This window comes from Homo sapiens, chromosome 11 (assembly GCF_000001405.40).
Source record: "Homo sapiens chromosome 11, GRCh38.p14 Primary Assembly".
NCBI lineage: Eukaryota > Metazoa > Chordata > Mammalia > Primates > Hominidae > Homo > Homo sapiens.
Genome location: NC_000011.10, coordinates 63,353,152 through 63,366,160, shown reverse-complemented (window position 1 = coordinate 63,366,160; position 13,009 = coordinate 63,353,152). Strand labels below are relative to the sequence as shown.

Genomic DNA, 13,009 nt, shown 5'->3' with positions numbered 1-13,009 from the left:
CTGTTTATATGCTGGATTATGTTTATTGATTTGCGTATGTTGAACCAGCCTTGCATCCCAGGGATGAAGCCCACTTGATCATGGTGGACAAGCTTTTTGATGTGCTGCTGGATTCGGTTTGCCAGTATTTTATTGAGGATTTTTGCAAGAGAGTCAAGACCCATCAGCGTGCTGTATTCAGGAAACCCATCTCACATGCAGAGACACACATAGGCTCAAAATAAAGGGATGGAGGAAGATCTACCAAGCAAATGGAAAACAAAAAAAGGCAGGGGTTGCAATCCTAGTCTCTGATAAAACAGACTTTAAACCAACAAAGATCAAAAGAGACAAAGAAGGCCATTACATAATGGTAAAGGGATCAATTCAACAAGAAGAGCTAACTATCCTAAATATATATGCACCCAATACAGGAGGACCCAGATTCATAAAGCAAGTCCTTACAGACCTAGAAAGAGACTTAGACTCCCACACAATAATAATGGGAGACTTTAACACCCCACTGTCAACACTAGACACATCAATGAGACAGAAAGTTAACAAGGATATCCAGGAATTGAACTCAGCTCTGCACCAAGTGGACCTAATAGACATCTACAGAACTCTCCACCCCAAATCAACAGAATATACATTCTTCTCAGCAGCACACCGCACTTATTCCAAAATTGACCACATAGTTGGAAGTAAAGCACTCCTCAGCAAATGTAAAAGAACAGAAATTATAACAAACTGTCTCTCAGGCCACAGTTCAATCAAACTAGAACTCAGGATTAAGAAACTCACTCAAAACCACTCAACTACATGGAAACGGAACAACCTGCTCCTGAATAACTACTGGGTACATAACAAAATGAAGGCAGAAATAAAGATGGTCTTTGAAACCAACAAGAACAAAGACACAACATACCAGAATCTGTGGGACACATTGAAAGCAGTGTGTAGAGGGAAATTTATAGCACTAAATGCCCACAAGAGAAAGCAGGAAAGATCTAAAATTTATACCCTAACTTCACAATTAAAAGAACTAGAAAAGCAAGAGCAAACACATTCAAAAGCTAGCAGAAGGCAAGAAATAACTAAGATCAGAGCAGAACTGAAGGAGATAGAGACACAAAAAACCCTTCAAAAAAATCAATGAATCCAGGAGCTGGTTTTTTGAAAAGATCAACAAAATTGATAGACCACTAGCAAGACTAATAAAGAAGAAAAAAGAGAAGAATCAAATAGACACAATAAAGAATGATAAAGGGGATATCACCACCAATCCCACAGAAATACAAACTACCATCAGAGAATACTATAAACACCTGTACACAAATAAACTAGAAAATCTAGAAGAAATGGATAAATTCCTCGACACATACACCCTCCCCAGACTAAACCAGGAAGAAGTTGAATCTCTGAATAGACGAAACACAGGCTCTGAAATTGAGGCTATAATTAACAGCTTACCAACCAAAAAAAGTCCAGGACCAGATGGATTCACAGCTGAATTCTACCAGAGGTACAAGGAGGAGCTGGTACCATTCCTTCTGAAACTATTCCAATGAATAGAAAAAGAGGGAATTCTCCCTAACTCATTTTATGAGGCCAGCATCATCCTGATACCAAAGCCTGGCAGAGACACAACAAAAAAAGAGAATTTTAGACCAATATCCCTAATGGTGGTTTTCAGAAGCTGGAGGTAGGGGGAAATGGGAAATTGCTGTTCAATGGGTATAGAGTTTCAGTGATACAGGATAAAAATTGTAGAGACCTTCTGTACAACCTTGTACTTATAGTTAACAATATTGTATTGTGCACTTAAACATTTGTTAAGAGAGCAGGTGTCATTTTAACTGATTTAGATCAGAATAAAACATTTAAAGAAGCTATTACTTTTACTTTCTCTTATTAAGATAAAAGCTCCTTAAAACCTGGGACCCTGATTTATACTGTTATTCATGATCAAGCTTCATGCCTAGCCTACTATAATTTTTCAACACAGTTTAATATGTGCATAATATGATAAATGGTTTACTTTATGATCCACAGCAATATCTGTGTTTTCTCTTTTTTTTTCCATTTACTTCACCAAATCCCTTAATCTTTTTTTATTTTAATTTATTATTATTATACTTTAAGTTTTAGGGTACATGTGCACAATGTACACGTTAGTTACATATGTATACATGTGCCATGCTGGTGCACTGCACCCACTAACTCGTCATCTAGCATTAGGTATATCTCCTAATGCTATCCCTCCCCCCTCCCACCACCCCACAACAGTCCCCAGAGTGTGATGTTCCCCTTCCTGTGTCCATGTGTTCTCATTGTTCAATTCCCACCTATGAGTGAGAATATGCGGTGTTTGGTTTTCTGTTCTTGTGATAGTTTACTGAGAATGATGATTTCCAATTTCATCCATGTCCCTACAAAGGACATGAACTCATCATTTTTTATGGCTGCATAGTATTCCATGGTGTATATGTGCCACATTTTCTTAATCCAGTTTATTTAAGTCTTTAATCCATCTTGAATTAATTTTTGTATAAGGTGTGAGGAAGGGATCCAGTTTCAGCTTTCTACATATGGCTAGCCAGTTTTCCTAGCACCATTTATTAAATAGGGAATCCTTTCCCCATTGCTTGTTTTTATCAGGTTTTTCAAAGATCAGATAGTTGTAGGTATGTGGCATTATTTCTGAGGGCTCTGTTCTGTTCCATTCAGCTATATCTCTGTTTTGATACCAGTACCATGCTGTTTTGGTTACTGTAGCCTTGTAGTATAGTTTGAAGTCAGGTAGCGTGATGCCCCCAGCTTTGTTCTTTTGCCTTAGGATTGACTTGGTGATGCGGGCCCTTTTTTGGTGCCATGTGAACTTTGAAGTAGTTTTTTCCAATTGTATGAAGAAAGTCATTGGTAGCTTGATGGGGATGGCATTGAATCTATAAATTACCTTGGGCAGTATGGCCATTTTCATGATATTGATTTTTCCTACCCATGAGCATGGAATGTTCTTCCATTTGTTTATATCCTCTTTGATTTCATTGAGCAGTGGTTTGTAGTTCTCCTTGAAGAGGTCCTTCACGTCCCTTGTAAGTTGGAATATCTGTGTTTTCTATCTGTATGTAAAAAAAAGAGAAATCTTTCTCTGAGGTATTTCCACTTAGTCATGCCCTTAAATCTTGTAATAATAGAATTTACACTCCATACAACAGGGATTTTGACCTTTATGATTGTTGTGGTATTTCCAGGGATAGACCAGAACCTGACACACATGGGCACTCAGAAAATATACATGAATGAATGAGTGTGTGAGTGAATAAACAAATAAGTGAACCTCTTGGTGTTCTATTCTGCATGGTCACTAACCCTTCCTTCTGCTGGCTTATGCCCTGGAAAAAAGCCCAAAGAATATTAAGCCAGAAGGAATACTAAGTGCCCTCTGTCTCTACTAAGTAAAGTATCTGTGTCCATTTCTTTCAGTAACAACATATTCTCTTTCAACACTAAGCCAAACAATTGCAACACCCCTTGAGAACCAGGACAATGAGGTGAGATAAGAAGAGCCATATCAGACCTGTGTTCCCATGCTTTATGCACCTTGGACACTAGATAGTATGAATGCAAGTTATGTCTTCCTCACATCCTATATCCAGCTCCCATCCTGCTCACCTCCATGGTTAGGGTGTCTCCAGCATTCTTCATTCTATTCCAGCATGCAGCTTTTCTGAGTTCTTTTAAGCCCTCCTCTGGTTTGTTGTTGATGAGCAGACATTGAGCAGGTGCTTCCAGTCACCTGATTAAAGAAGAGGACGAAGGTCCAGTCAACTCTCACTTACTCATTTTTCACATAACCTTTATACTGTGATGCCTTTCCTCTCTCATCTAATGCCCAGCACTTGTTCAGTTATACCTGGAAATATAAATTTACATCCTCTTGTGCCATTACTGGGTCAATATGAAGATGACTTTCCATGCAGTATACCTTCACTGCAGGGAATGCAGACTAGGAGTCATATTGGCTCAGGGGAGGTTACTGGTTTTAGCAAATAACAATAGAGTGTGTCTAGTTAAATTTGAATTCAAACAAATAGTAAATAATTCTTTAGTAAACTATATCCCATGGAATATTTTGAACATATGTATATAAAAATTATTTGTTGAGGGAGGGGATCAAAAGAGGCAGACTAAAAGTGGCTAGTGTGTGCTGCTTTCATGGAGAGGAGACCAAGAGCGTAGTGAATACTGACCCTGCAAGTCTATAAACTAGGAATCCACAACAGGATCCATCATGGTAGCAAGGGGACACAGAGAATAGAGAAGAGAGAAAATGGGCAGCAGCCCATCTTGGATTGGTGTGGAGCCAGGACAAGTTTCCCACCATGGGGAAAGGGTGAGTGAGAACCCCTGGAAGATTCACACCTTCCACAGGGACCTTTGAAAGCTTTGAAATGGGAAAATCCTCCTACCCCCTAAGGCCTCTAGACTGTTAGAGAGAAACATCCAGAGGTTTTGCAGAGGCAACACTCAAGTTCACAGGTTTTGCAGAGGCAAACTCAAGTTTATAGCGACCTCTATAAAGCCTTGGACCCTGAAACAGTAGAGTACTGCCATAGCCCCAGTAGGCACCACAGATGCAGTGCCCAGGAGCAGTAAGACCGCCCCATCATCCCCTGCACATCTTCCAGCACAGTGGCTTCACTTCTGCCTGAACTCTGCAGGCAGGAGCAGCCCCATGTTCCCCTGGGAAACATCTGGCTGGCAGAGTGGGCTACTCCACCCACTCCTTCTGCTTGCTTGTAACTAGACAGACTTCCAGCACAGCAGACCTGCTTCTCCTGAACTCTGTGGGCGGTTGCAGCCCTGTTTTCCCCCAGGAAATATCTGGATGCAGGGTAGGTGACTTCACTGCTTGCTCACAGCCAGACAGGCCATGCTTGCTGGGGCTTCTAGCACAGCAGACCTTCTTCTGCCTGAACTCTGCTGGCAAGTGCAGCCCTGAATTCCCTAGGGAAGCACCCAGACAATGGATTGGGCCACCATGCCAACCCCCCCTCCTCCTACCTGGGCAGGATGCACCAGTTGGGGATTCCAACACAGAGGACCCACCTCTGCCTGAACTCTGCCAGTAGGTGCAGCTCTGTGTTCCTATGGGAAGCACCTGGACAGTGGATTGGGCAACTACACCCACTCCCACTGCTCTAGCCAAGCAGGACATATCAGCTTAGGCAGGACCCAAGCAGTGAGGAGCCCTCACTCTCAGAACACTGAGAGAGGTGAGCCACTTGGGAGGAGAAGGGTGTGACTCCCTCCATAGGGCTGGACTGAGAAAGGTATGGTCTCTCCCAGCGATCCCATTACTGGATATATACCCAAAGGATTATAAATCATGCTACTATAAAGACATTTGCACACGTATGTTTATTGTGGCACTATTCACAATAGCAAAGACTTGGAACCCACCCAAATGTCCATCAGTGATAGACTGGATTAAGAAAATGTGGCACATATGCACCATGGAATACTATGCAGCCATAAAAAAGGGATGAGTTCATGTACTTTGTAGGGACATGGATAAAGCTGGAAACCACCATTCTGAGCAAACTATCACAAGGACAGAAAACCAAACACTGCATGTTCTCACTCATAGGTGGGAATTGAACAATGAAAACACTTGGACACAGGGCGGGGAACGTCACACACTAGGGCCTGTCATGCAGTGGAGGGATGGGGGAGGGATAGCATCAGGAGAAATACCTAATGTAAATGACGACTTGATGGGTGCAGCAAACCAACATGGCACATACATACATATGTAACAAATCTGCACGTTGTGCACATGTACCCTAGAACCTAAAGTATAATAATAATTTAAAAAACCCAGAAGGGTATGGTCTCTCTGCCAACCATGGCCTCTGCCTGAGGGAGCCCTGTGGACCAGGAAGTCTAACAAAGGAAATGCAGACATGCAGCCAGTGAATGTAGAGGGCTCCTCCAAGACCCAGGAGTAGATCAGGTGAGGGCGTTATCCCTGTCCCCCACACCACAGAGCACTACTGCCAACTGCACCAAAATACAAAAAAGCTGTCTGACTAAGAGCTTATCTGCTAGTCAACACTCTTAAGTGCCACCAACTGGATTGCAGTCCAAAATACAACACCAAAATATTGTGCCAGTATATAGCACCTGCAAAACTAATGCAAAGATCCAGTCACAAATAAAGATTCTGCACAGAGTCCTGGCCTTCTGACAACACCTAGAAATGAAGCCAACTGACTATACTCAACTTACATCACAATTAAAGGCACACCAACCCTCAGACATGAGACAGAATCAATGTAAGAACTCTGGCAACTCAAAAAGCCAGTGTGCTCCCTTACCTCCAAAGAAACACACAAGGCTCCCAGGGATGGTTCTTAGCCAGATTGAGATGACTGAAATGACAGACATATAATTCAAAATCTGGATGGCAAGGAAGTTCACTGGGATTGAGCAGAAAGTTGAAACCTAAACCAAGGAATCGAGGGAGTATAGTAAAATAATCCAGGAGCTGAAAGATGAAATAGCCATTTTAAGAAAGAACCAAACTGAACTTCTGTAATTGAAGAATTCACTTCAATAATTTTACAATAAAAACAGAGGGAGCAACAGCAGAATACATTAAGTTGAAGAAAGAATCTCAGAGTTAGAAGATTGGTTCATCGAATCATCTCAGTGAGACCAAAAAAATGAAGAAAAAGATTTTTTAAAAAGGAATAAAATCTCTAAGAAATATGAGATTATGTAAAGACAACGAATCTACAACTCATTGGCATTCCTGAAAGAGGATAGAGAGTAAGCAACTTGGAAAACATAGTGATGATATAGTCCATAAATTTCCTCACTCTTGCTAGAGAAGAGGACATACAGTTTCAGGAAATACAGAGAACTCTTTGGAGATATGACATAAGATGACCATCTCCAAGAAACATAGTCATCAGATTCACTGTCAATGCAAAAGAAAAAAATCTTAAATTTAGGCAGCTAGACAGAAAGGTCAGGTCACCTACAAAGAGAAACCCATCAGGCTAGCAGCAGACCTCTCAGAAAAAAACTTACAAGCCAGAAGAGATTGAGGGATTATTTTCAGCATTTTTAAAGAAAAGAAATTCTAACCAAGAATATCATATTCTACCAAGCCAAGCTTCATAAGCAAAGGAGAAACAAAATCCCTCTCAGACAAGCAAGCATAAAGGGAATTCATTACCAGTAGACCACCCTTACAAGATGTCCTTAAGGTGGTGCTAACCATGGAAACAAAAGATTGAAACTTACTACCTCAAAAATACACTCAAGAACATAGTGTACAGACTACATAAAACAATCACACAATCAAGTCTACAAAGCAAACAGCCAGCAATGTGATAACAGGATCACAATCCCATATATCAATACTAGCCTTAAATATGAATGGTTTAAATGCCCCACCTAAAAGGCATAGAGTGGCAAGTGGGATAAAAAGACAAGACACAACTGTCATTTGTCCTCAAGAGATGCATCTCATGTGTAATGATAACCACAGGCTCAAAGTAAAGGAATGGAGAAAGATCCAGGCAAATGGAAAACAAAAAAGATTAAGAATCTCTATTCTTATATCAGATAAAGCAGATTTTAAACCAACAGTAATTAGAAAGGACAAAGGAGGGCAGGCAGTACATAATGATAAAGAGTTCAATGCAAAAAGAAGACTTAAGTATCCTAAATTTATAAAAATCCAAAAAAGGAGCATCAAGATTCATGAGACAGGTTTTTCTTGCCCTACAAAAATATTTAGGCAGCCACACAATAATAGTAGGGGACTTCAACACCCCACCGACAGTGTTAGACAAGTCATCAAGGCAGAAAACTAACAAAGAAATTCTGGACTAAAACTTGACACTTGACCAAATTGCACCTAATAGTCATCTGCAAAGAACTCCACCCAATAATCACAGAATATACATTCTTCTTATAAGCACACAGAACATATTTTAAGATTGCCCACATGCTCAACCATAAAGCAAGTCTCCATAAATTTTAAAAAGTTGAAATCATACAAAACACACTCTTGGACGATAGTGCACTAAAAATATAAATCAATACCAAAAAGATATCTCAAAACTATTAAAAAAATGGAAATTAAACAACTTGCTTCTGAATAAATCTTGGGTAAACAACAAAGCTAAGACAGAAATTTAAAAAATGCTTTGAAATTAATGAAAATAGAGACACAATTTTCCAAAACCTTTGGGATGCAGCTAAAGCAGTGTTAAGATTTATAGCACTAAACACCTTCATTAAGAGATTAAAAAGATCTCAAATTAATGACCTAACATGGCAATCAGAGGAACTAGAGAAAAAGAATACTCCCATACTAAAGCTAGTAGAAAAAAAGAAATAACTAAAATTAGAGAAGAACTGAAAGAAATTGAGCCCCAAAAGTCCATACAAAAGACTAATGAAACCAAGAGTTGGTTCTTCAAAAGAATAAACAAGATTCATAGGGCATTAGCAGGTTAACAAAGAAAAGAAAGAGAGAAGATCCAAATAAGCGTAATTAGAAATGGAAAGATTACTGATCCCTCAGAAATACAAAAGATCATCAGAGACTATTATGAATACCTCTGTACACACATATTAGAAAATCTAGAGGAAATGGATAAATTACTAGAAACACACAACCTCTCAAGACTGAATCATGAAGAGAGGGAAAACCTTAACAAACCAGCAATAAGTTTGGAAATTAAATCAGTAATAAAAAATCCTACCAAAAAAAAGTGTCCGGGACCTCATGGATTCTCAGCCAAATTCTACCAGATGTACAAAGAAGAATTGCTACCAATCCTACTGAAACTTTTCAAAAAAATTAAGAAGAGGCTTCTGTCTAACTCATTCTATGGAGGCAGCAGCATCCTGATACTAAAATCCAGCAGAGAACAATGGTAAAAGAAAACATCAAGCCTGTATCCTTGATGAACCTTGATGCAAAAATCTTCAATAAAATACTAGCAAACTGAATCCAGCAGCACATCAAAAAGCTAATTCACCACGATCAAGTAGGCTTTATTTCTGGGATGCAAATTTGGTTCAATATATGCAAATCAATTATATAATTCACACAAAAGGAATTAAAAACCCGTATGATCATCTCAATAGACACAGAAAAATCCTTTCATAAAATCCAATCCTTCTATGATTAAAACCAACATACTACGGATTGAAGCAACATACTTCAAAATAATAAGAGCCATCTATGATAAACACACAGCCAAACTTACTCTAAGTGGGCAAAACTCAAACCATTCCCCTTAACAACTGGAGCAAGACAAGGATGCCCACACCCAGCACATCTACTCAACTTAGTACTGAATGTCCTAGCCAGAGCCATCAGACAAGAGAAAGAAATAAAGACACCTAAGTAGGAAAATAAGTCAAACTAGCTCTCTTTTCCAGTGATGTGATTCTATACCTAGAAATCCCTAAATATTTTAACAAAAAGCTCCTGGAGCTGATAAATGAATTCAGTAAAGTTTCAGGATACAAAATAAAGGTATAAAAATGAGTAGCCTTTGTATACACTAATAACATTCTGACTGACAATCAAATCAAGAACACAGTCTCATTTACAATAGCCACAAAGAAAATGAAATATCTAGGATTTACTTAGCCAAGGAGGTGAACAATCTTTACAAGGAGAGTTACAAAACACTGCTGAAAAAAATCAGAGATGATGTAAATAAGTGGAATATACTCTCTGTTCACAGATTGGAAGAATCAATGTAGTTAAAATGGCCATACTGCCCTTAACGGTTTACAGATTCAATACTATCACTATCAAAAATACCAACATCATTTTTCACAAAATTAGAAAAATCTATTCTGAAATTCATTTAGAACAAAAAGAACTTGAATAACCAAAGCAACCCTATGCAAAAAGAGCAAAGCTGGAGGCATCACATTGCCTGACTTCAAACTACACTATAAGGTTACAATAATCAAAACAGCATAATACCGGTATAAAAACAGACACATAAATCAGTGAAACAAAATAAACAACCCAGAAATAAACTCAAACACCTACAATTATGTGATCTTTGACAAAATCAACAAAAATAAGCAATGGAGACAGCACTCCCTATTCAATAAATGTAGCTAAGATTACTAGCTAGCTATATGCAGAAGAATGAAACTGGACCACAACTTTTCACTGTATGAAAAAACCAACTCAAGATAGATTAAAGAATTAAATGTAAGACCTCAAACTATAAAAATTCTAGAAGAAAACCTAAGAAATACCTTTATTGACAGAGGTTTTGGCAAAGAATTTATGGCTAAGTCCCCAAAAGCAATTGTAATAAAAACAAAAATTGACTAATGGAACCTAATTAAACTAAAGAGCTTCTGCACTGCAAAAGAAACTATCACCAGAATATACATACAACCTACAGAATGGGAGAAATATTTGCAAACTGTGCATCCAGTAAAGGTCTAACATCCAGAATCTTTAAGGAACTTAAAAAATTAACAAGCAAAAAACAACCCCATTAAAAATTGGGCAAAGGACATAAATAGGAACTTTTCAAAAGAAGACATACATGTGGCCAACAAGCACATGAAAAAATGCTCAACCTCACTAATCACTAGATAAAAGCAAATCAAAACCACAATAAGATACCATCTTACACCTGTCAGAATGGCTGTTATTAATATTTAAAAGTAAAAAAATAACAGATACTAGTAAGATTGTTAAGAAAAGGGAATGCTTATTCACTGCTTGTGGGAATGTAAATTACTTTAGCCATTGTGGAACACAGCGTGGCAATCTCTTAAAGAACTTAAAACAGGATTATCATTCAACCCAGCAATCCCATTATTGGGTATCCAAATATATCCAAAGGAATGTAAATCATTCTATCATAAAGACACGTGAATGTTGATGTTCACTGTAGCACTATTCACAATAGCAAAGACATGAAATCAACCTAAATGCCCATCAATGGATACAGAAGATGTGATACATATCCATGGCACACGTTTACCTGTGTAACAAACCTGCACGTCCTACACATGTATCCCAGAACTTAAAATGAAACACATTTTTTTAAAAAAGAAAATGCGATACATATACATTATGGAATATTATGCAGCCATAAAAAAGAAGGAGATCACGTCCTTTGAAGGATCATGAACGGAATTGGAGGCCATTGCCCTTCGCAAACTACTGCAAGAATAGAAAACCAAATACCACATGTTCTCACTTACAAGTGGGAGCTAAATGATGAGAACACATGAACACATAGAGAGGAGCAACAGACTCGGGCTGGAAGGGTAAAGGATTGGAGGAAGGAGAGAATCAGGAAAAATAATGTACTAGGTTTAATACCTGGGTGATGAAATAATCTGTACGACAAACCTTCATGACAGGGGTTTGCCTATATTACAAACCTGCACGTCGGCCGGGCGCGGTGGCTCACGCCTGTAATCCCAGTACTTTGGGAGGCCGAGGCGGGCGGATCACGAGTTCAGGAGATCGAGACCATCCTGGCTAACACGGTGAAACCCCATCTCTGCCAAAAATGCAAAAAATTAGCCGGGCGCGGTGGCGGGTGCCTGTAGTCCCAGCTACTTGGGAGGCTGAGGCAGGAGAATGGCGTGAACCCAGGAGGCGAAGCTTGCGGTGAGTCCAGATCGCGCCACTGCACTCCAGCCTGGGGACAGAGCGAGACTCCGTCTCAGAAAAGAAAAGAAAAGAAAAGAAAAGAAAAACCTGCACGTGTACCCCTGAACTTAAAAAAAAATTAAAAGAAACAATGCCAAATGTCAGTGTCATTCACATGACTCTGAATTGGCATGCTGTTTACTGTGCAACTGACAAAAAATGCAAACAGGATTTTGACTTCAAATGAAGGTGGAATTTCAATGCCAAAGTCAGGGATTGGAAAAGTCAAGATCCAAAGCATTGACTTACTCAGCACACATTATTTGCTGGGATGGTCATGGTAGAAATCCCAGCCAAGAAACGTAAGGAGCAGTAAATGAGGAAAGTGGGAGAAAAGGCTGCACAGGTGTCAGAAATGGTGAGCTGGAGCTAACACCATCTGAACATTAACCTCCTCCCAAACCTGAGAAACAGAGACAGGTTAGATAATGGCAACAACAACCACTTGTGAAACTCAGAAAGGAGAAAGCATACTTTGAATCTCAGCCTGGCCATTATTGGTGTATATAAATGCTACTAATTTTTGTACAGTGATTTGGTATTCTGAAGCCTCACTAAAATCGTTTGTCAGTTCTAGTAGCCACTTGGCAGAGTCTTCAGGGTTTTCTAGGCATAGAATCATATTGTCAGTGAAGAGATAGTTTGACTTGTTCTTTTCCTATTTGGATGTCTTTTATTTCTTTCTCTTGCCTGATGGATCTGGCAGGACTTCCAGTGCTAAGTTGAATGGGAGTGGTGAGAATGGGCATCCTTGTCTTGCTCTGGTTTTCAAGGGAAATTCTTTTGGCTTTTGCCTATGATGTTGGCTGTGGGTTTGTCATACGTGGCTCTTATTAATTTGGAGGTATGTTCATTTAATGTCTAGTTTGTTGAGGGTTTTTTATATTATGAAGTGATGTTGGATTTTATTGAAGGCTTTGTCTGCATCTATTGAGATGATCATATGGTTTTTGTTTTTAATTCTGTTTACAAGGTGAATTGTAACAGATGCTGACAAGGCTTCAGAGAAAAATATAATAGGGTAAAATGTACTAATGTAAATTAGTTCAGCCACTGTGGAAAGCAGATTGGAGATTAATTGAGAACTTAAAACAGAGTTAGCATTTGACCCAGCAATTCCATTACTGGATATATATCCAAAGGAAAATAGATCATTATATAAGACAATACATGCACTCATATGTTCATTGCCACAGTATTCACAATAACAAAGACATAGAATCAATGTAGGTTCCCATCAATGTTGGATGGGATAAAGAAAATGTGGTGCTGTACACCATGGAATAC

General features: G+C 39.0%; 1 protein-coding gene across 1 annotated transcript in view; it reads right to left on the bottom strand.

The window, feature by feature from the left end:
• Positions 1 to 3,016: 3,016 nt before the first annotated feature.
• SLC22A10 (solute carrier family 22 member 10 (gene/pseudogene)) overlaps positions 3,017 to 13,009 on the bottom strand; it is a 73,242-nt gene continuing 63,249 nt past the window's right edge. The window contains exons 10-11 of the transcript XR_007062480.1: positions 3,658 to 3,781; positions 3,017 to 3,104 (exon numbers count right to left, since the gene is read on the bottom strand). The gene's annotated coding sequence lies outside the window, so the exon portion shown is untranslated. The remainder of the gene's footprint in view (positions 3,105 to 3,657; positions 3,782 to 13,009) is intronic.